Consider the following 23,276-nt stretch of genomic DNA (forward strand, 5'->3'; position numbering starts at 1 on the left):
GTCCAATCTTTGGTCCACTGGGTGGCCTTCAAACCCACCAGGTCACCAATTGTTGATTCTTTCCTTTTCTTGTGTCCATGAAACATTTTTGGCATTTCTCCCTCTTATCTTTTCTAACTTCAGGGTATTTTTCTCCCGTACAGTTAATGACTTCCAGGCATAGAACATAGCAGGAACAAGTCATTAAGAGACAAGCGGAAGCCAAGTGCCAGCTTTTATTTTTGGAACAGAAGCAGAAAGGAAATCTTGCTCTGATTCCATGGATGTGACCAGGGAGGTGTTGGTCGATATTTCTGTGCTGTGGCATCTTTGGTAACCAAGTTACCAGAGCTGGCAGCGGCTGGAGGGGTTCAAGAGAGCACCACGTGCACAGCGGAAATACCTGGCAAAGGCTGGGGTGCTGCTGAGGGGCCCGTGGACTCGGAGGTGTGGAGGGCTGTGAGTGTCGTGAGAGTCCTGGGGGCTGGGCTTCCTACACATCACCTGAGCAGGAAGAGAGGTCATTGAAGGGGGAGGGTCCACAGGACAAAGCTGACCCGGTGACAAGGGGTGATCAGGGACAGCAGACAAAGAGGGGAACCAGGGGATCAAGTGCCCCAAGGGCCACATGGAGCATTTGAAATGTATAGTTCATTTAATCTGGCAATAGGAGTCCAGGAGGAGGGCCTGGGCTGTGTAATGATACCATTTATCAATGACAGAGAGGCAGGGTCTAGCGCAGGAGCTCTGGGGTGAAGTCTAATCTAAGCGTGTTGAAGACCTGGCACCTGAGTCTGTTGAGGGAGTACAGGGTGCTTAAGGAGGTGATGTCAAGTGGGCGCCACACCTAAGGTCAGGTGTCTGAAGAGGAATGTGGCACACAGTCAGCCTGTCGCAGGCTTTTTTTTTTTTTTTGTGAGACTGAGTCTTGCTCTACCACCCAGCCTGGAGTGCAGTGGCATGATCTTGGCTCACTGCAACCTCCGCCTCCCAGGTTCAAGCGATTCTCGTGCCTCAGCCTCTCAAGTAGCTGGGATTACAGGCGCCCGCCACCAAGCCCAGCTAAGTTTTGTATTTTTAGTAGAGACGGGGTTTCACCATATTGGCCAGGCTGGTCTTAAACTCCTGATCTCAAGTGATCCGCCCACCTCGGCCTCCTAGAGTGCCAGGATTACAGGTGTGAGCCACTGTGCCCAACCACAGGCTCATTTTTAAGGCATCTGTATTTTGGGGGTATGAGAGGAAAAAAAAGTTGGTCTCCTCCTCTCCTGGAGGAACTTGGGAATAGAGTTTTTTCTACCTTTTGAGTTGTGGGGGTGCTGAACTAGGTAGAAGAACCTGTAGTCATCTGAGGGGTGATTCCAAGGGGTAGGGAGGGAAGAGAAAAGATAACAGTGAGGACATCTGCAGAAGAGGGTTTGGGGTATTTGACGGAGTGTCTGAAGAGGGGACTTCCATGAGCTTCAGTAATAAGGCGTTCAACTGACATAAAGCAAGCTGTGGCGGGAGGTGGCCGCTGCCTACCTGGGCATAGCTTCGAAAGAAGATCTGCTGGGGGCTGAGGTCCAGGCTGGGCAGGACAGTCTCCCCATGGTGCCGTAACAGCCTCTTGCTGTATGCCTGGGTAGGGGTGGGTAGAGAAGGGCCATCAGGCTCTAGACCTGTGGCCATTTGAAAGTCCCTCCACACAGTACCCAAAACCCATGGCCCTTGCTCACTGGTTCTGCACTGACTAGTTGATCTGAGCCAGAAGAAAGAGTACTTCCCAGAAGACCTATAGATGTCCTAAAATGGAGGATCTCTGGGGTAGGAGGGGGATCCCCAAGTTGCCGTCTATTCAGTGGGGATGCGAAGGGCAGAAAGCCATGCAACTGTACTTGTGTCAGGAATGGTGGAAGGAAAACTTGAGGACATGTTTTCTAGTCTGCCAGTACACATAAACTGTGGCCCTTGACACTTGCATACCTGCAGCGCGATGGCTAGCCCCCCAACGTCTGCAGCATTCTCTAAGAATGTGAGGGAGTCATTGAAGGAGGTTCTGCTAGGTAATGGAAAGGCAGCATAATGGCGCTTCAGGCACAGGTGAGCTTCCTGGAGGGCATGGTTGTCACAGGCGAGGCAGCCCCCAGGCAGTACTGTTGAAAATGGGACAAGAGAACATACAGCAAGAGAACATAGGGTTGGTGCTGCCTAGGTGAGGATGTGGGTGGTACCACAGACTGAATCAGCTCCCAGGAGCATGGCAAAGTTCCCAGGACTGCCCCACCTCAAACCCTCAAATAACCTCCCTTTCCCCTCCAGGCCTCCCTTGTGGTCTTCCCTTAGGTTCCCTATTATCCCACCTCCCAGTGGCCCCTGTTACCCACAGAGCTGGTAGAAGATGTGCAACAGCTCGTGGGCCATGATGCTGCCAGCAGCGCCAAAGTTCACGGCTCTAGGGAGACAAGGGCTTATTTGACCCCCAGAATCTCTCAGCATTTGTGACCCCAATTCTCCAACCGTAAGTCCCATCCATCATAACACCTGTCGGCCCCTCTTGGGAAACTCCCTACCTACCCTTACAGAGTGACCCATACCTGGGATAGCCAGGGTGGAAGAATGGGGGTTGGAGGAGTCCAGCTGGAAAGACTACCACATGGTCAGATACCGAATAGTAAGCATTGACGTCCCAAGGGGACACCTTCCACCTGTGGGAAGAGGACATGTGAACTCCAGCCCCCACCACGTATTGCCCTGCCACCCTGAGACCTACACAGTCCCTCCCAACTACCATTACTGTTCATGCTGCCTGCCCTGAGCCCTGGCTTCCTTTCCTGTGAATCATGGATGGGTCTCTCTGGGATGGAGTGCCTGTGTCTCCCCTGCTGTCATACCTGTGTTGGGGGTGAGGCTGCAAGAAGCTCTGGACAATTCTAGCTCGGAGGGACCGGACACAGCTCAGGACAGACTGCAGGAAGCTCGATCCAAGCTGTATCTGGGGAAGAGGCAGGAGGTGACTTGGGCACACAGAGACTTCTATAGATGCACGCTGACAAACACCAATGGGACCATTTGACCCCAAACAGGCAAGCCCTGACAGGCAGGCATCCAGGGATTAGGAGAGAGCAGCCCAATGGCATCACTACACAGCACACCCAGGCTTTACACATATCAGCACACAGATGAACACGCCCAGACAAGTCACAGGATGCATGCATGTGTGTTGGCACATGCGTTGGGACCTGAAAAGATTCTGTTCTTCTGCCAGCAAGACGTACAGTGTGGATATTTCCCCATCAACCCCAGCCAGCACCAGAGTAAGGACAGAGCTAAGTCACCCAGGGAAAACTGATTGTCCAACAAAGACTTAGGAGGGTCAGAGAAGTGACGAGAAGTCAAGGACTGAAAAGGAGCTGGAAAACACAGGGACCCACATCGTTGTATTCTTGTCGGGCCAGCTCTGGCTTCAGGGCCCATTCTGAAGCCCCCATCTCCACCTGCAGTTGAGCAACCTGGAGAGAGACACAGAAGAGGCTAGGAATACTCTCCGAGTCTACCAGAGGAAATTTCTCCCACTCGTTGCCCTGTCCCAGCCTCTCACATTGTTGCCAGTGTGAGTATACAGCCCAGTGGCTTCCCTACTTAGCATGTGCCTGGGGGGGCCTTTGGCATTTGCTTCCAATCCCCATCTCGCTTGTTCCAATACTCCATTCCCTGCACAGGCTCCCACACCAGCCAGGACGCCTGGCCTGACCTTGTCCTGGGCCATGTTCTGGGTCTCCTCATTCATCCAGGGAAGGTTTCTGAGGCGAGTGATGAGGGCATCCCGGATCGCAGTGAATAATTTCATGGCCTGTGGGAGTGAGGTCCAGGGACAGGGGGACAGGATCAGGAGAGGCCTCAGCCTGGCCCTGCCCACAGCTTCTGACCCTTGGAAAAGGGCTTGGCCCCAAGGAGCTGCCTGGGCTGGAGCTGCTGCTAGAGGAGCAGCTCAACTAAAGCAACTAAAGGATCTGTGGAGAAAGGAAGGCAGTGCCAAGCCCACAAAGGGAAGGTGGGGCCTGGCCATCCGTGAGGGCCATCAGGGAGATATAGTTCCTTTCCATGGGGAAATAGCCTGACACAGGAGAAAGACAGTGTCCTCACTCCTGGGGGCAGGAACACCTCTCAGAAATCAGAGGGAGGAGAGGGCTGTCATTTTCTCCTCTGGCTCAGGGCTCTTGTTCTCACACTGTCTTTTTTAAACCGTCCACTCCCTCTCCTCATCCTCCTGAGCTCTTCAGCTTCCCAGCAAGTCCCCCACAAGTCTCCCTGCCTTCACAACGTGAGTGTGTACTCACTGCTTCCCCAGCCACCTGCCATCTCATGTAAATCCTTTCCTGGAGGAAAATGAAAGGCAATATCGAGAGCCTGGGCTCTGGCATCAGAATGCCTGAGTTCAAACCCTGTCTCTGCTTTTTGGTAACTGTGTGACTTTGGGCAAGTCACTTAACCTCTCTTTGCTTCAGTTCCCTCTTGTATAAAATCAGGATCATAATAGGAACTAAATGACGTAGTTCATGCAAAGTTCTTGAAGGAGTCCCAGGCATGTGGTAGGTACTCAGAAAGTATTCAGTGGTGATTTATTTGATTTATTTGCCCTCTTCAAGATTATGTCATCTGTTCTGATGTCACGTCATGTGTTGTTAAAAAAATCTTAGCTACAACAGGGAGGAGACTTAGAGATGATAGTGTTCAATTTTCCTTTTTTTTTTTTGGAGATGGAGTTTCACTCTTGTCACCCAGGCTAGAGTACAATGGCGTGATCTCGGCTCACTGCAACCTCTGCCGCCCAGGTTCAAGCGATTCGCCTGCCTCGGCCTCCCGAGTAGCTGGGATTACAGGCATGCACCACCACGCCCAGCTAATTTTGTATTTTTAGTAGAGATGGGGTTTCTCCATGTTGGTCAGGCTGGTCTTGAACTCCTGACCTCAGGTGATCCGCCCACCTCAGCCTCCCAAAGTGCTGGGATTACAGGTGTGAGCCACCGAGCCTGGCTCGATTTTCTCATTTGATGGTTGAAGAAACACAAGACCAGGAAAGTTGGGTGACTTGTCCAAGTGAGAGCATGTCATGGAGAATTTGTGGCCTGAAGCTGAACTGTTTCCACACCAGGGATGGAGCAGGCCTTTGGGTTCCCTCTCTCAGTGGCCCTTCTCTGACTGCCCAATTCCCCAATCACACACACCACTGAGAAAGTCAAAGTTAATAGAAGAGGGAAGGCTGCTTTGGGTAGGAAGGGGTGGAGGGATGTGGGCTGGGAAGAGCTCTCACATACAGCACTTCGGGTGCTCGGGCCAAAGGCCTCACGAACAAACAAAGCCGCCAGCGTGGGCTCGAAGAACGTGCCTGTCTCCTCCACGCACTTCATCCATCGTGGGCGGGCAGGCTATGGAGACAAAGCTGGAATGAGTGGCTCCTGTTCAGGACTCTTTCCTCATCTGTCTCCCCAGTCTTCACTAGATCTTCATTCCCAGAGGGTGCTCTTTTGACTGGACTTTCTGGGTTTCATCTGTTTACTATCCCTTAGGGTGATGCACATCACCGATCAGTACAAGAAAAGCACAGCTTCCTCAGAGCTGGTCTCATGAGCCTGGCTGAGTAAATCCTTCATGTTATTGCCTATTGAATTTGACAGCAAGGCCTCTAGGAGGCATCATCCTGGGGTTTCAAAAGCCTCCTGGGAAGAAGATGAGAACCCAAACTCATACCTCGGCAGTCTGATGTTCCCCCTGTTCCCCCACCACCACTCTACTCCGGGGTCCCAGCAATGACTTCCATCCTCCATGCTTCTTTGCTCAAAACGGAGATTGCGGATGGAAATTCTGTCCTACCACCATCACCTTTATCCTCTCTCCAGGTGGGCATGGTGTATCATACTGTAGCATCTTGTAAAGAAAAAATTATCAGAGTAGAACTGGGTTTTAGATGCCATATTGTTTGCTAGGAAAAGAGGACACAAGACAAGACTCAGTGTATAAATTCATAGAGCTGGAAGACTTCCAGCCAAGTCAGAGAGGAGAGAATAGAACAGGAAGGTGGAGGGCTTTCACTGCAGAGGCAGGAGGCCATGGACAAACATCCAAGAGGGCAGTGCCAGCTGAGGACCTCAAGAATGAGAAACAGAAGAGACAGATGCTGAGAAGGTCTTGGCGGTGGGCTTGCATGGCTTTAAAAACTTGACCAAGGCATAAACCCAGAGATGACACGGTAAATGGAGACACACACTCAAGGAACCCAGGGACAGGAGGAGGTAGCTGGCCTGAGGGAAAGCTGAGCTGGAACTGATAAATACCAGCTAATATGCTAATTTGGGTTAGGCAGGATGAAGCCTCAAAACTTTATTCCTGTGATTTTTTTACTTCCCAAAGACCTGCCCACGGGGAAGGTAGGAAGGCTGCCACTAATACTCTCCCCGCAGGAGCTAGGCTGGTCCTGGGAATGGAGGGGGTTTATGTACATCCCACTACAGGAAACAGACCAAAGAGGCCAGTCTGGTAGTCACTGAAGAAAAAACTCCCGAACCCACCAGTTAAAGAGGTTATCATTTTGGAGGTTGCTGCAGGCCTGGCTGTCCACATCTGTGTTCTATTGAACCTTGAGGTCTGCTAACCTTGAGTCTTATTTTTATTTTTATTTTGTAACAGAGTCTCACTCTGTGACCCAGGCTGGAGTGCAGTGGTGCAATCTCGGCTCACTGCAACTTTCACCTCCCGGGTTCAAGTGAGTCTTCTGCTTCAGTCTCCCAAGTAGCTGGGATTACAGGTGGCTACCACCAGAGATGAAGTTTTGCCATGTTGGCCAGGCTGGTCTCAAACTCCTGGGCTCAAGTGGTCCATCTGCCTTGGCCTCCCAAAGTGCTGGGATTGCAGGCAAGAGCCACCGCACCTGGCCAACCTTGTCTCTGATAAAGAGAAGAGGCTCAGATTCTTCTCATGCTGCATGAGTTGGAGCTCTGAAACAACAGGAACTAAAAAGAAGTCCGGGTCTGAAAGCAATTATAGGCCAAGTTGAGAATCTGCCAGCCACATTCTGCTGGACAAGCTTGGCTCCAGGAATACCTCTTACCAGACAGTTGCTACATGTGGAGCAGCAACCAGCATCAGCAGGGAGACCACTTGAGCTTGGAAGTGTAGATCTGCCTATTCTTCTCACCCCTTCTCATTCTTGATTTGTTTCCTGATGCCCTTTGCTGGAGCCTGATCATTTCTCCAACATGCTTTGCCGTGGGACCTGACTACTGGATAATACAATCGCCACCTCAGACCACTACTACAGCTCTCTCTCAAGATGTGGAATGGTAGTGTATACCACATTGACTGCAAAGGGAGAGTCAGAGAGAGAAAGAGAGGGAGAGAAATAGAATTCGAGAAAAAAAAGTCTCCAAAATATAAACAATAGAAGAAATACTTCAAACCCAAGATAATGAAACTCAGTGGACTAATTTTAGGGCACCAGAAAAAAAAAGTTCCATATACAACCTCAGAACCACAGATAGTATTTGAGAAATGATAGAAATCAGGACAGATTCTAAGAGTCCGGAGGGAAGCAAAAATTTGACCAATCTTCTATAGGATGAAAGGAAATTTTAGGGATTACGAGCCAACCAGGAATCCTTAATGTTAATTTCTAAACAAAATTGTGGAACGAATCATTAAACAGTTTTTTAACACTTGGAAAATAATGTGTAACTACTAAGGGCTATGATAGGATCACTGAAGAAAAATAATGCCAAAATGATAAAAATTCTTCTGGCTAAAAGGCTTATGTAACTGAGGCATATGAAAGACCGGAAGCCGCAAACTCCAATAGGGGCCATGCAGAGGCATAACAGAGAACAGCAGTGCAACATCAGAGCTACAGGCTGTGGTGGGGCTTCAGAGAGCGCACCCAGCCCTGAGCTGCATCATGTAGCGACAGTCAGTTGTTGCCACAGGAGAAGGGTAGCCCAGTGTTTCCCAAGCTTCACAGACACACACACACACACACACACACACACACACTAGAAACCTGAATGCTGGCATGCCATATCCTAGTTTTTGAATGTTGGTGATTAATTCAAAGTTTGCAAAAGATTCTACAGGCTAACAAAACACATCTATAGACGAAATACATCCTCAAGCACCACTACCATCCTACCACTGAATAGAGTATTAGCACTTACTAAGTTTGAGTTATTAACTTAAACCCCTGTGGTTCAGTGACACCAGTTGTCGAAATGAAAACAATATCTAGTCTACCTTCCTCACAGGTTTGGGGATCAGGTGAAATAATACCTTTCAAGTACTCTAAGGCACTACCCCACTCTGTTGGCATTATCTTGATTTAGCCAGGCTTGAAAAACACAGATTGAGTCCTCGTGAATTAGATAGAGAAACTGATGTTGAATGATAGTGCAATTTGAGTGGAGTCTCATCTGGCTGAATCAAAAGTAAACATCAATGGTGAATGATTTCAAGTTAACTTGACCTCCAGTGACATTCCTACTAAGAATCCTAACTACCACTCACTTAGCATTTCCTTTCCTCATTTCCTGTTTTGCTTTTCTTCATAACACCTCCTAACATATTTTATTATTTTATTAGTTTGTTTATTGTCTTTCTTCTTTCACCAGGATATGTGGCTGAAGGCAGGATTATTTATTTGTCTTTTTTGTTCATTGCTGCATTCCAAGTGCCTGGAGAAGTACCTGAAGTACACTAGGTTCTCAATAAATGTTTGTTACATAAATGAATGCATAAATCCATATCTAGGTCTTCAATAACCTGACCCGATGCCCTTCTCCCTTCAGGATCTTAACAGTAGTCTGGACGAAGATACACTGAATAAAATTGCAAATGATCCAAAGCTGGAAGACCTGAATAAATTGAGATGTTGGGCTGAATATAAATCATTCACATTTAATCATCACAAATGTGAAGTTCTGCTTTTACTTCTCAAAACCCACCTTCCCAAGTTTCATAAAAGAAAACCTGACTTAACAGCCATTTTCATTGACTATAACTCTATTCAAAACTAATCATCCAAAGATGGGCCAATAATGAGATTTAGAAATCTTTCTGTATAAGGGCACTATAAATTATAATTCATTCAAAAGAATATGATCAGAAGTCGGTAATTAATGGCCACTGAATAAAACCAAACATTTTGATCATATCAAGGCCAAACTCTAGGTGATGTCTTTGATTCCATTCTCCTTCTCACATCACTCATCATCAGGACATCCCATTACTAACCTTAAAATATGTTCTTTTAAAACATAAATGAGATAAATCCCTCTGCATGTCTTTATTTCATACAGAGAGAAGCAAAAGTCCTTCAGCAACCTACCAGACCTTGTATGGTTCTCTCCTTCCTGCTCTGATTCCCTCCCCACTATTGTCCTAGTCACTCTGATCCAGGTGCCCTGGCTCCCTTGCTGATTCTCAAACACCTGGAGCATGCTCCAGGGGCATCAGTGGACACAGCAAGCCTAGTCTTCTCCTCTCAACCAGAGCCACCAGGAGGATCCCTCACCCTGCACCAAGTTTTAGCCAGCCTGCCTCCTGCCCTGTCCCCATGAGATGATACCCCTTTCTTCACCAGAAAACTCCTTCCTCTCTCTAGACATTTTGTCAGTTCTGCCTCCTGCACAGAGATGCCACTGATCCTTCAAATGCTCCCTGATCTCTCCCTCTTGGGAACTCCAAGAATATCTGCTGTCTCAACCAGGATCCCCTGGGAACACAGCATTTACTTAGTGTACAGTTGTTTTTGCACTACAGGGACAGAGTTGAGTAGTTTGTAACACCAACCATTTATGGATCACGAAGTCGATATTTACTATGTTGCCCTTTATAAAAAAGTTTTCTAACCTTTGTTTGTAGCACCTACTTGTTTCTCAATCCTGTATAGTGTGTGGTTAAAAACATGACTTTATGAGCCAAAACATCTGTTTTGGAGTCTGTTCACTTACTTGTGAGCTGTGTGGTCTTGAGAAAGTTTCTTGACCTTTCTGAGCCTATTTTTGCTTCTGCAAAATGGGGATTAAAAACCTCCAAGTGTTTCTGGAAGATTTAAATGAATAACCTGTCCCAAGTGCTGACAGACAGTGACTACTCCATGTATAGCAGCTATTATCATTATTATTAAGTGCCATCTTTTATACTATTGTTCCAGAAAGGTGAAGTGGCGTCCCCAAGGTCACACAACTATTTGTTGGCAGAGATTAGTTCAGCTTTTAAGCCCAAGGACAATTATGTGCCCTAGTGGAAAAGATAATGGCTTCAGGACATCTAAGCCTTCTGCATTCTTTAAGCCTAAGCCTCAACATTAGCACTCTTACAGCCTCCAAGAAGTGCCATGAGGCCATGGTGCTGGCATTTATAGGTAGCTGTTTGTTGCCAGGATTTTGTAGCAACCCCAATTAAGATAACTTGGGGCTCTGGTCTGCTTCATCTGAATCAAGAGAAAAGCTGGGCAGAAGCTTCTTGGCCACTCTCCAACCCAAGTGATGTTCCTCAGGAAGACTGCTTTTTTAGCACAATGAGTAAACAACACAGACCCTGGAGCCAGACTGCCAGGGTTCAAATCCTCACCCCACTAACTTACTGTCATACCTGAGCAACTTCCTTATCTTTCGTGCCTCTGTCTCCTCCTCTTTAAAATAGGAACCAAATGGCATCCATGGTACCTCATGGAATTGTAAAGATTAAATCTAAATCTAGATTTAGATCTAAAGGATTTCAGAGTGTCTAGCACACCATTAGCTCTTGATAAGCAATAACTACATTCCAGTCCCTGTGAATACATTTATCTTCTCTGAATTCCACAGCAATTTTAGGTTGCCAAAGCAGAGAGTTTCTCCAAGGCAGGGAAATGGACCACAAATTACTAAGAAAAAAAATCCAGTGATTTTTAAGACTAAACTGAGGCCTTCACTGAGGTTGGGATGTATCCAATGTACTAGACTCTTCTGCTTGCATTTGGATATATCCAACTTGGGATTTCAAGATTCTCAGCAAAGGAGCATCTCTGCATCTTATGTAATAAGTAGACTCTGGTTAGTGAAGTGCATTTTCTACCCAGGCCCCTCCTCAGATATATCCACATCTGTGCCACAAAGTCTACATGTGGCCCAGTGGATCCCACTGGATGTCAGAGATAAACTCTTTGTGAAGCACGTTTGAACATGGAATCAACTAGACATAAGGAAGGCCACTGCGTAACATATCTCTCTGTCATCCCAATAAATTGTAAGCTCTAAGTCCAAGTTATCCTGAGCAAATAGTGTAAGCATCATGACAAAGAAAGGGCAGTTTTGATAATATCAGAGTTTTATATTTGAGCTCAAACACCCAGCAAGAAGCCAGAGAGGTAGTCAGGCTGGGAGATGTGTGCCTGAAGGTCTGGCACGTGGCATCTTGGTTTTCAAGTTAAACTTTGTCTGTCCAACTTGCCTGCTTCTATGGAAAGCCAAGACATGGAGGGGCATCTACCATCACGGCCCCCTCCCTGAGAGAGAGATGCCGACATTTACCCCTCAAAAGAGTAGATACTCCTTTCGAGTATCTGGGCAAATACACCCGCTCCTCTCCTCACCATGGGTGGTTGCTCTGTCAGTTCCCGCAGTTTCTGGCTGAGCTTTCTGCGTGCCTCCTGGAATTGACTGTCCAGGGCTGGAGAAAGGGTCACCACCAGCCCTAAGATCATGTGGCTCTGCAGAAAGTCCCTATGGAGACAAAAGAGACCCACACATATACCCCAGGAATCTGGGGATGCTTCAAGAAGAGCCTCTCCTTGTGTAAGTCACCTTGATACTCGTGAAGGCAGCTCCTTCTCCTCTGTATTAATAAGTGTTTTAACATGCACCCAAGTCAAAAAGAGCTTTTCATGATGTAGGTTGGGGTGGGATCTAGCTCCTTAGTAAAAGAAACTAGATGAAGAGGCAGCCTTCAAAGTCACAGGGAAAGAAAGTTCTGGGCTAGATGGAGTCTGGACTCATGTCATGAAACAGATTCTGCTTCCACAGTCAAGATATCTCTGGTTATCCTCAGATGTATCTCATAAGCATAAGTAAGCTGGTCTCTGTGACTGCTCTCTCCTCCACCAGCAATGCTCCTGCCAGGGCTGCATTGCACCCTTATGTAAGCCTGCTCACTGCCATGTGAATGGGCAGCTACCTCCCTCAAAAAGGATTTCCAGATGCTGCTGCCACCATGAAGAAGGCCCTTAGGTCCAAGCCCCTGGAAGAAAGCCACTGCTTTCAGGTGGTAGCCACCCAGGTATCAGGGGAGGCAGAGAGCCCAACAAAGAGCCACTCTTTCATGTCCCCAACCCCAACACCCCCTTGATTTCCTGACACCAGCAGAAATGCTCTTAGACATTGTTTCCCATAAGAGCTCCAGCATCTTCACACCACACCTGAGGAATGGCCCCTCCTCTTCCTTTCTTCCCCTAAGCATCCCCAGCCTTCACCATGTTCATCTCCTCATCTCATGTGCCTCCTCCTCCTGCCCACAGTCCTCAGCTGCTAAAAAGACATACATACACTTAACTGTCTTCTGTGTCTGGGTCTTCCAGCATCTTCTACAGCTCAGAGGCTCTTGACTGGCTGGTGTTCTACTCTCAGGAAACCCCGTGTCTTGGCTGACCCTGCGTTCCTCATGTCGTGTGTATCCTCCCTTACTCGTGCTCCCAAGACACATCCTTCTTGATCCCTCCATCCTCTCTGTGCCACCCACCCCACGCTTCTCTGCCCGCACAGGTGGCAGGTTCCTCTTATCCTCCTGGGAGGCCCTTACCAGCCTGCCTTCCCCAAGGTTTCCTTTGCCCCCAAGATCTACGGTGCTCAGGCTCTCCTCCATTTCCATGATCTCCCCAATCCCACCTGCGGCGAACCTCTGCTTTAGCAGCATCTCCTCCACCAGTTGTGACATGTTTTTCAAATATTCCACGTCATGGACCACGAGGGACTGAGAAGGGCTCAGGGACATCGGTGTGAATGTCGCTTGCAAGCAGGACAACCAGTCGATGGCGGGGGCCATTTCCTTAGAGGAGGGACACAAAGCTGAGGGGGAAAAGGAAAAGAGAAGGAAGGGGAAAGGGCTTCCCCTTGGGTGTGAGAAAAAGAAGAGAACAGGCTAACTGGGGGAGGGGATGGAGTCAGAGACAGAATGAAAAGGTATTAAGGGCACTAGGAGGAAGAAGGAAAGGAGGTAATGTTTGAGAGGAAGATCCCCATGCCCACAGTCTTCTGGCCCCCAGTTCCAGGCACCTTGAGCTGGTCGATAGTGACCATCTGGAAGAGCTTGCCCTGTGCCCGCCGCTGCTCCAGGGGCCTCAGAAACTGGAACAGCCGTGAAGTGATGGAGATTGACAAGGAAGAGTGTTCTTGCACCTTGCTTGGGTCTCCTCCCAGCAAGGTTCCCAGCTGATTCAGGTAAGTCAGGTATTCCCGAAAGATCTGGAGGAAGGAAATGTCAGTCACAGGTGCCAGAGGTCCCTGCTTTTCTCCTGGCCTCAGAGGGCAGGGCCTTTGTCCATGTGCCATCTTACCTGGGCATAGATCTTCTGTTCTTGATCTTGCTTGAGGGGAACATCAAACTCTGGCTGGTCTATCTGGGCACAAGAGAGACTGGAGAGAAGCAGGGAGCATGGCGGATGGAGAGGGCAGGTGTGGGGAGGTGGGGAATATACCATGGGAGATGGCCTTGGGAGATGGACACAAAGATTGGACAGAAGAGAAGCAAGAGTACAAAGAAAGGGAGGGATTAAGGGTTGAGGGGCATGAGAAGAAGAGTCCAGATGTGAAAATGGGAAGAGATGGTGAGTATTACAACCAGTGTGGGTGTGCCCAGCAAGGCAGAAGCATGATAATCAGCATCTTAAAAGGAGCTATTCCTTGTCTCAGGAACAGGGCCAGGGTGAGTGAGGTGAGGAACCTGTCCCAGGTACAAAATCTAAGAGGTACCAAAAACTCAGTAATCAAACTGCAACCTAACTTAGGAGTATATTCTTGCAACAGGTAGCTCCATCTCAGCCAGCCATACCAGCTGATCTTCAGGCAACCACAGGCTGTCAAGTGATCAGACCATGCCCATTAAAGACAATTGCTAAGCTGTAACCAATCAAGCTGTTTCTGGGTGTCACTTCCTCTTTCTGTAAATACTGCCTGCCTGCATTGTTGGGTGGAGCTCTCTGAACCTCTACTGCTTCAGGATGCTGCCCAATTCATAAATCAGTCTTTGCTCAAATAAACTCTTTTTTAAAAAAACTCAGTAATCAAGATAAATAATTAACATTTTAAAAAATCAAAATTACTACCAAAAATGTATGATAAATAAAATCTCAAAACTTTGCTTATCATGGACTTTTTTTCCCCAAAAAAACATACTTTTAGTCAATTTTGAAAAGAATCATGATGTGTTCAAGAAAAGTCCTCAATGTATTTTTGATTCATTTTGAATAAAAAAATTAGTATTTTCAAAAAGATTCACACAGAATTTTGTCCCATTTTTTGGGAAAAAAAGCATAATCTTTTTTCAAAAAAATTCATAATGAAGAAAAGTTTGATATTTTGTTCCATCATGTATTGTTGCATTGATTTTGATTTTTTAGGAATATTTAATAAAATACTATTTATCATGATACTGAGTTTTGGGGACCTTCTTAAATTAGCACCCCAGGTAAGCACCATGTATATTTCACCTTAGTCTGGCCCTGATGAACCCTTGTTTCTATTCTGAAGATCTTTGCTTCTACTCTTTCCCTTTTCTTCTCCAATTTCAATATCCCACTCTTATCTTGAGCCATATACTTTTCCTTCTGTCTCGAAAAAAACTTTCACTTGACCCTTTTGCTACATTGTATGTCCACAGTTCAAAGAACAAAAAAGCATCTATGCCCATTGTTTCCACTTTCTTATCTTCCTCCTAAGCTCTGTGCAGTCTGTGTCCACTGCCATAACTGTTTGGAAAGTATCTCTAGGTATCCAAGGGTGTCTTCTCATTCCTTCTTCTCTGAGCTGACCCCTCCTTCCTGAAGCTCCTTTTCTTTCCTTTGTGGCCCACCATACTGGTCTAGCTCCCATCTCTCCAATAGTACTCTCTCTTCCCTGGCTCCCTTCTGCCCTCAGTCTTTGGACTTCTCTTTCTGTAGTCCATTCTTCCTACCTGCTTTTAACCCAAGAGACTATCCAGGCTCACACTGATGATAATCACCCTCCTCCCACTCACACTAAATCAAAACAATGGGATCACTGTGTAATCCCCCACTTTCTTTCTTTATATCCAATCAGTCACCAAATCCTCTAGAAACAGCATGAACTATCATCACTAGGGTGAAGTTGCCTAAATCCTTGTGCCTGGCTCTTCCTTTCCATTTCTACCTCTATCTCAGGGCCTCAAAAATGCTCATTTAGTTTCCTCAACACCCCCAGACTGACCTTCAAAACTGCTGACTCTACGCACAACCATCAAAATACTTGCTCTATGCACAATTGTCATAAGAGTTGGATGGCCTCAGTAGCTCTTTTTTTTTTTTCTATTATGTCAAATGTTTCACCTTCGCCTGGCTTCTTAGAAATAATCAGGCTCAACCTTATGTCTTCAGTCTCACTTTTACCTCCCACTGCACCCCACCTTGCCTCCCAAATCCTCAATTAAATAGATCAGCCTCCTCACTGACTCCACGAAGGAATCACACCATTCCAGGTCCTCCCCCTGGCTCAGCATTTCCAACGCCCCATAGCTTCACCTCCACTTGTGTGAATTAACCATGTTTCAAGGCTGGCTTAGCTCACCTTCTCTCATTCTCTCCTCTCTGAGCCTCTCCTTAACCAGATCTTAACCGGCCCCTAAAGGCCACATCAGTTAAACTCCTGAGCAGACTGTTTAAAACTAAATTTTAGAACACCTCATAATGATAATCAATTCTTCTTTTGTACTTATCCTTTGGTAATTTTGTGGCTCTTTTGACAGTAGGGCCCAAATATGCAGATAGCATTACATTGTTTAACCACAAGAGTGATAGCTCCAGTGTTTTTATTTAGTTACTCACTCACTACAAATACCTGGCAAAACTTCTAGCTGCCTGGCCCTGTGATAGGTCCTGAGAAACAAAGGTGAATAAAGCATGGTCCTGTTCTAAAGAGGCTCACAATCTTCAACACAGAGTGATAAATGCTGAGAGCATGAGGAAACGAAAGTAGGGAGAGCAGGGCTTCACCTAACTCATAACTAGGGTGTCGGTGAAGACTTCCTGGAAGAGATAATAAAGCCAACATTTGAAAAACATGTAAGTTTTCCAGGTTCAGTGTGGGGGATGGTTGCAGGCACAGGGAGCAGCATAGGCAAAGAACTGAGGAATATTCCTGGAAGCAGCAGTGAGTCAGCATGGCTTGGGGGTAAGGGAGAGAAGGAATGTACGGGAGATAAGGCTGGAGAAGTGTGTAGGGGTCAGATCACAAGGTGCTTGCAAAGCTTTACTAAAGATTAGGGACTAGATTCTGATGACCTGGCAAGCCACTGGGTCACTGACAAGCATTTAAATACAGACAGTAGCATAGTTAGTTAGCCCTTGGTTTAGAAAAGTTCCCTCTAGTAAAAATAAAGAGTAAATAAAATGAGGGCAATCCTAGAGATAGGAGGACTGGTTAAGGGGCTCTGAGACTAATCCAGATTAACAGTAAGAAAGACCAGGCCTACTTCTGTCTTCCCAGCACTGGCTCTGCTGCTCCATTTCCCACCCCCAGCTAATGTCCCTGACTTTCACATCAATAATTTTCCCTTAAGGTAGGGTTGTTTCCTATATCACACAGGTGTCCTCTCTTCCCAACCTGCAACCTTCCTCTAAGGGATGATTGGCTAGAGTTGGAGGCAGGCCAGGTCCAACTGTGTCTTCGCCAGTGCATCCCTCACCTGGATGACTGGTGTGTGTGGAGAGGCAGGATGAGGTCCTAGGTAGGCTCTGAAGAAAGGGAAATGGCCATACTGACTCATCAGAAGTCTCAGCGTTCGGTTAAAGTTTAAGGAAGTCCATTTACCAGAGATGCGCCAGCCTCCAAGCTTTAAAGGAGAGAGAGGGGGCTGAGCATAAGGATCCGTGGAGCCCATCCCCCATTGTCTGGATCGGCTCTTACACAGCTGCTACTGCCTGACCTCTGCCCTGCGCCCTTCGATTCCTCTAGGAAGCCACATCTATCCTTTTTTATCTGCCTTCTCCCAAGGTCCTGATACTTTCATAGGGCATAACCATTTCCATCTCCATCTCCCTCCTAGAAATTGGGGGGCCCTAGGAAGAAGACCCACCCTCTAGAAAAAAAAATGGCAGCCCTAAGCATGCATTGGTCCCATATGTTATGTATCCAGAAAAGTTAATATCCCAACTTTTCTCACCTCCTCAATAACTTGTCTGAGGGGACCAGTCCCTGCAGCTTCAATGGCAAGTGTATCCATGCAGGAGTTGTAGAACTGGAAGGCTTTCTCCTCCCCAGAGCCTGGGTGCCAGGAATTCTGGACCTCTAGAAAGGAAGCATGGGAGTGAGGACTAAACTCTGATTTTTTTTATCTTGCCCCAAATTCCTATCAAAGGGGTCTGGGGAGTCATGCCCTATATCATAAGTTCTCATCAGATGGGTTTTATTTAACCCATGTAACATGATTTACTTTCTAACCTGATTCTGGCATAACATTACGAGACAAAGAAGAAAACAAAAATATTTTACCCCAAAACATGTTTCTTTGCCACATTTTGAAATGGCCCTGCAAAGCTGTTCTTTGTGGAGGAAAATTTGCATCTGTAAAGCATCTCTATTAGCTATTAACATATCTCATTAACATAGCTAGATCTTTTGATTAACTAAGATCTGAATAGGAAACATTTGTCACCTATTGTCTCTAAGGGCAGCCACTATAAGACTTCAAAAGAACTTCGGTCTCCGCAATCTTTATCTTACCCTGAACATTCCCTTTCTATCTATCCCAGATCTTTAGACAAACTCAAGCAACTGTCAATCCGGAAATGTTTAAATTCACCTGTACCCTGGAAGCCACCCCCACCCCTTTGAGTTGTTCCACCTTTCTGGACCAAACCAATGTATTTCTTAAATGTATTTGATTGATGTCTCATGACTCTCTAAAATGTATAAAACCAAGCTGTGCCCCAGCCACCTTGGGCACATGTTCTCAGGATCTCCTGAGGACTGTATCATGGGCCATGGTCACTCATATTTGGCTCAAAATAAATCTTTTCAAATATTTTACAGAGTTTGACTCTTTTTGTCGGCAGGAGAATTAAAGGAGTGGCAACTGGTATAGAGGCAAAGAGGGAGGGTGGGAGACAGGGAGCTTACAGGAAAGAAAGACTCCCACAGAATATGGAAGGAGGGGGAGGAATAGAGATGAGGAAAATAAGAAAGATGAGAGGACTGCCCAATTTGGAATGGATCAACTTGATGAAATGATGAAAGCAGGGAAAGAGAATGAGGAGAAGAAGACAATATGGAAAATAAAAGAAATGTGGGGAAGAAACCAAGAAGGAAAAGACAGGGAAGAAAGGAGAAAGGTAGCAATAAGTGGGATATGGGCAAAGGAGAAAAGAGAGAAATGAAAGACAAAAGAAATGATTGAAGAAATTAGACAAATTCAGGGAACTAGAGAACTTTAAGGATTTGGAGAGAAGAAAACTCATAAGGAAAGGTTTAGCAAAGAGAAGAAACAGGGGAAGACTCTTCTAGTCCAGACTCCTCATCCATTGATCCCAGGAAACAAACACACTACAATAATCAAATGCAAGTCTCTCTGAATCATCCACCCTCTAATATCTAACACTCTTTTCACCCTCAGTCCCCCTGATATCTATTCATCCCATTGTAGGCAATATAATTTATCCTGAGCATATTTTTTCTTTTTATCTCTGTGCCTTCCCTGAAAGTATCCATTTACCCAAAGAGAGGCCCCCTCCCACTCTTTCCCCATCAAAAAAAGAGGGCAGAGGGGTGCATTTACTTTTCCCAGATTCTAATTGATAGTGTCAACACATTCTTTAGGTTCCCTTGCACTGGAAATGCATGTCTATCTTATATGTTCTTATTCCCAAATCCTCACCACCATCCACCAACTTCCTGGGACGCACTTCCAACCTCCTACTCAGTTTCAGCTCATCCTTCTGGTTTTCCTCTCAGTCCTGGCAGTTTTCCTCTCCAGCCTCCATCTGCAGGAACTTTACTTCCACTGCCAATTAACTCAGCTCTCCTCTTCTTCCAGCATATCCTTTGTACTTACCCACTTTTTCTCTTATGCACAGTGATGAAGCCCTCTCTCACTTCTCACCCCACCATCCTACCCCTTTCATTCCACCATCATCCATCATCTCCAATCATCCATCTCTAACATCCCACTTGTTCCAGGTCAACTTGCTTGCCATGGTTCAAGGTTTCAATGGAGAAGCAAGAAGCAAGAGATCATTGTGAGAGAGGGGAGCTCCGGCATGGTGAGAGGGAGAGGGTAATGTTGACAAGGAGTCATTGGGAGACTGAGGTTTTGGAGGTTAGAGAATGAGAGTGATGGACAAAAGAATTGAAATGCAGGAGATGCTGAAGAGATGCTTGTGGAGGAAAACACCATGCATAGGATAGAAACTGAACATTTGGAGGAAGCAACAAAGATGGAGCTTGCTAAAAGGGACAAGTTGGAGAGAATGGAGTAATTATGGATACATGGAGAAGCAAAGAAGATGGAAATTAGATAAAGAAAAAAATGCAGAAAGGGACCAAGAGAAACGGAAGAAGGGTACCCAAGGCAAGGCAACAGGAAACAGTGAGAGATGAGCAAACCCAGGCAGCTCCCGCCATCCTGCCTCTTTTACTCCCCCATCATCTCCAATCATCCACCCGTATAATCCCACCTGGGATGGTGCAAATCAGTTGTTCCACAACTACACAGGGTTTGGAGCAGTCATGGTCATTTTAGGCACAGAGTCACCCACTTGCACAGAGCATCTTCCACCCTGCTTTCCTCACCCAGTATTCTCCGAAGTCGGTTTTTGTTCTTTGTGGCAAGCTCCTGAAAAGAATTATTGGTCTCTTTGGCCCTTCCACAGGCAAAGCTGAAGAAGTCGGTGCAGGGGGCCACACTTGTGTTCCCAGAGGCCAGGTAATGATCCCGGAGATCCAAACACACAGATGTCTCACAGGGGCCTGTGGGGAAAAGCTCAGAGCTGGGAAAGAAGAGGCAAAAAGACAAGGGCTCCCCCAAGGGGCTAGGCAAAGAACATCAGGTGAGTAACTAAGTGGGGAGCTGATGAAAAAGAAATGGTTAGGATGCAGGGAGGAAGAAGAACCATGGGGACCCCAAGGGTCAGGGTGGGCAGAAGCCCCAGGAGCAGGGACTGGGCCTGGGCCCCAGGGCTGGGGGAGGGCTGACTAGGTTAGGGGGTCTGGGATCTTGCTTACGAGGGCCACAGTTCTGGAAGTTGTAGAACAAAAGCACAGAAAAACAAAGGAGCAGGCCCAAAATCAGGATAGCTGTCAGCACCCGCCTGGCCACTGCCCATGGCCTGCTCCCTTCCACGGGCAGCCTCTCTTCTGGAGTGCTCTGTGGGAGGAACCAAGAGGTGAAAGATACAAGATGGGGGTTGAGAGACAGGGATGGGAAGAAGAGGAGAGAGAATGAATCTGTTGGTGCTACAGTCCCTTTATACAGAAATAATTATCCCAATTCTTCCTAAACCCAGCCCTACTTTAACTCCTGGGAGATGAGAAAACAAGGAATGTCAACTGTTTTGGGTGAGGATGAAGCAGACAGTTAGTAGATGAGTGTTTGTGGGATTTTAGAGCCGAGAGTGACAACATCAGTGTATTCCAGACCCAGGAGAGGAGGCCACTTACCTCTTGGCTCCAGAGAGTTCCCATTCCACCTGCCTGGCTGCGTTCCCTCGGCTCTTCCTCACTTTGGTCCCCACCTTCCTGAAGTGAGTGGAGGGAGAAGGAGGAGAGAGAAGCTGGTTCAGGAAATGGTGCATTGAAGAGAGTTTTATCAGGCCATTTTGATACCCTCGCTGCCTGCCCTGCCCCCACACACATATTTTTATCTCGGAGCAGTGTTCCCAGATGGGCTTCAGAACGAACCTGTCCCCTGAATGTGCCATTTCTCGATCCCTCTCCCATTACCTCCCTCTCTCCCCACCTTTCTACTCTGTAAGCCTTACATTCCCTCCCCTCCAGTGGGGGCAGGACTTTTGCACACAGCCACCCTCACCCCTCCCCGCTAAGCCTCTGACTCCAAAAGGGGACTTACCATCTGTCTATCTTCTGTGGCTCCAGAATCCTTCCTGGTTCCACTCTAGGAGCTGATTCGGAGGACTGGGGTCCAGGAAACACCCCCCGCCCCAGTTCCTTGATCCTGGAGAAGGGGCACTTCTGCTGCTCTTTCGCCTTGTCCCCAGACACACAGGACTGGCCTCTGGGTGGAGCCTGCTTATCAGTGGGGGGCACCCAGGCTTCTCCTCCCCCTTTATCTCAGCTTCTCAGGGGAGAAGAGGGAGGGAGTCTTCACTCCCCAAGCAATCTTGCCCTTGGTCTGCTCCTTTTGTCTTGCACTGTGACTCTGCCCATGAAGTTCCTTTATTTCTAAAATATTCTTCCTTCTCTCATTTCTTCTGTATTAAAAAAAATATGAGGCACAGTAAAATTTTAAAGAGTTTATTTAAGTAAGAAGCAATTCATGAATTGGGGAGCACCAGACCGACAAAGGTTTAGTGTTGCGATGACAAAATGTCAGAGGCAAGCATTTATTGGGAAGTTATAGAAGCAAAATGAAACATTATTTGCTTAGTTTGCAGTTACATAATTGCATTTTTTAGGTAACTTTTTGGAAAGTCCCTAGTCACATAATCATATGTTAGTTGGCTGCTTATCATTGGCTGGGGTTAAGTTTTATTTGTTGTAAGCATTTATCAGAAATTGACCCAAGTTAAGTTTAATTTATGTTTGTAGTTTTAGCAAGAATATGGCTATTTTTAAGGTCTTTGGCTTTGTTTGCCTGGGAATTTTTCAGGCCCAGTCTCCATTTTAATTTTGTTTTCACACCTCTCTGATTGGCTTTTCTGGGATTCATCAATTCCCAGGTCAAATGCCACCTTTCCCAGGAGGCCTCCCAGCTCCATGCCCATTCACACTGTTCCCAAGCATGCTTAATTGTTTCTCTCGGTGTTTCATAGCTCTGCTGGCTGCTGGCAAAGTCATGCATTCAAAAGATCACCCAGCTAGGAGACCCTAATCTGCTAATTATTAGCTCTGTGACAATAAACAAGCCACTTAAACTCTGAGGCAGGTAAGCAAGTTTTGTCATCTGGAAAATGAGGGTAATACTTGCCTATGCCTACCTCATAGGATCTCATGCCTTCTACAAAAGAATAAGGCTTTACTGAGCCCCTCTTTCTTTCATTCTGCTTTCTGTTACACTGATAGCTTGCCTCTTCATCTCCTTAGTGATTGAAAACTATGTCATAGCATGTACAGTGTCTGGTTTTCATTCCTGCCCACCCAAGATGCTTTCTAAATGTTAATAGAAATGAATTGCATTCCAAGCCAGAAATCCTCTTTCTCACATCATATTAAGCCCTTACCTGTGGTCTGAGAGAGGCAAGCACATTTCTGGGGGAAGGTGTTTCAACTCTGTCCTTGTTTCCTCATCCCAGGAAAAAAATAATGTAATTTATTAGGTTAGTCTTGCAAATGATCCCCTGGCGATATTTCCAGATTCCATCAGCACTGTGCTAGGGCCATGGTGCACTTGCCAGGATGAGGGTGGGTGTGGAGAAGTGGAGTAAAGCCATTGTGCCCCCTGGGGCCAGCTGGTCGGGTATCATGAAAGTCATAAAGAAAAGTCAGAACTTCATACATTAGAAAAGAAAGCATTGGGAAAAATAAGGCTTTTGAGGAAAGGTGTGGCAAGATACAATAATATCTAAGAAACGCCGGTGTGGTATTGGGGATCTGGACTGATTGGATAAAAGACAAGAAACAGAGTGGTTAGTTTGGTGTTGCAGGAGTGATGAAGGGAGGGCCCGGCCCAAGGGGATGGCAGAGGGGAGGGAAGTGCGTAGAAAGAAAAATTGTATGGAATAAAGTCATGGCAATGGATTGAATGGAGGAGGGGTTTATGATAGAGCCACAGAGGAGCTCCAAGTTGCATTTCTGCATGACTAGGGGAATAGTGATGCCAGCGAACAATGGAATTTTGATTAAGGGGGGAGTAGGAATCAGAGTGAGGGGAAAAAGCTGACTCAGGATTCTAGA

General features: G+C 46.7%; 1 protein-coding gene across 3 annotated transcripts, besides 2 other annotated features; it reads right to left on the reverse strand.

The window, feature by feature from the left end:
- KEL (Kell metallo-endopeptidase (Kell blood group)) lies at nucleotides 184–21,433 on the reverse strand. Of its 3 annotated transcripts, none has more exons than NM_000420.3 (19): nucleotides 21,274–21,433; nucleotides 20,865–20,942; nucleotides 20,430–20,571; nucleotides 19,998–20,174; nucleotides 17,374–17,498; nucleotides 16,897–17,043; nucleotides 13,535–13,597; nucleotides 13,254–13,442; nucleotides 12,878–13,026; nucleotides 11,579–11,708; nucleotides 5,277–5,387; nucleotides 3,713–3,811; nucleotides 3,393–3,470; nucleotides 2,853–2,953; nucleotides 2,556–2,666; nucleotides 2,346–2,413; nucleotides 1,945–2,114; nucleotides 1,504–1,599; nucleotides 184–483 (listed from the first exon to the last, which is right to left on the reverse strand). In NM_000420.3, the coding sequence occupies exons 1-19, from the start codon at nucleotides 21,274–21,276 to the stop codon at nucleotides 322–324; spliced, it is 2,199 nt and encodes a 732-aa protein (NP_000411.1). In that variant the 5' UTR covers nucleotides 21,277–21,433; the 3' UTR covers nucleotides 184–321. The 3 variants fall into 3 exon arrangements, with proteins under 3 accessions (NP_000411.1, XP_005250050.1, XP_047276313.1); XM_005249993.2 differs by lacking the exon at nucleotides 21,274–21,433 and adding an exon at nucleotides 21,105–21,168; XM_047420357.1 differs by lacking the exon at nucleotides 5,277–5,387.
- Nucleotides 16,848–17,563: an enhancer, noted in NCBI's record as "H3K27ac hESC enhancer chr7:142654865-142655580 (GRCh37/hg19 assembly coordinates)". NCBI's record gives its function as "activates a minimal SCP1, AML or CMV promoter by ChIP-STARR-seq in naive H9 embryonic stem cells {active_cell/tissue: H9 hESC(naive)}" and the evidence as "EXISTENCE:reporter gene assay evidence [ECO:0000049][PMID:30033119]".
- Nucleotides 21,197–21,392: a silencer, noted in NCBI's record as "fragment chr7:142659214-142659409 (GRCh37/hg19 assembly coordinates)". NCBI's record gives its function as "represses an EF-1alpha promoter that drives an FKBP-Casp9 reporter gene in an ReSE screen in K562 erythroleukemia cells {active_cell/tissue: K562}" and the evidence as "EXISTENCE:reporter gene assay evidence [ECO:0000049][PMID:32094911]".

This window comes from Homo sapiens, chromosome 7 (genome assembly GCF_000001405.40).
Source record: "Homo sapiens chromosome 7, GRCh38.p14 Primary Assembly".
NCBI classification, from domain to species: Eukaryota; Metazoa; Chordata; class Mammalia; order Primates; family Hominidae; genus Homo; species Homo sapiens.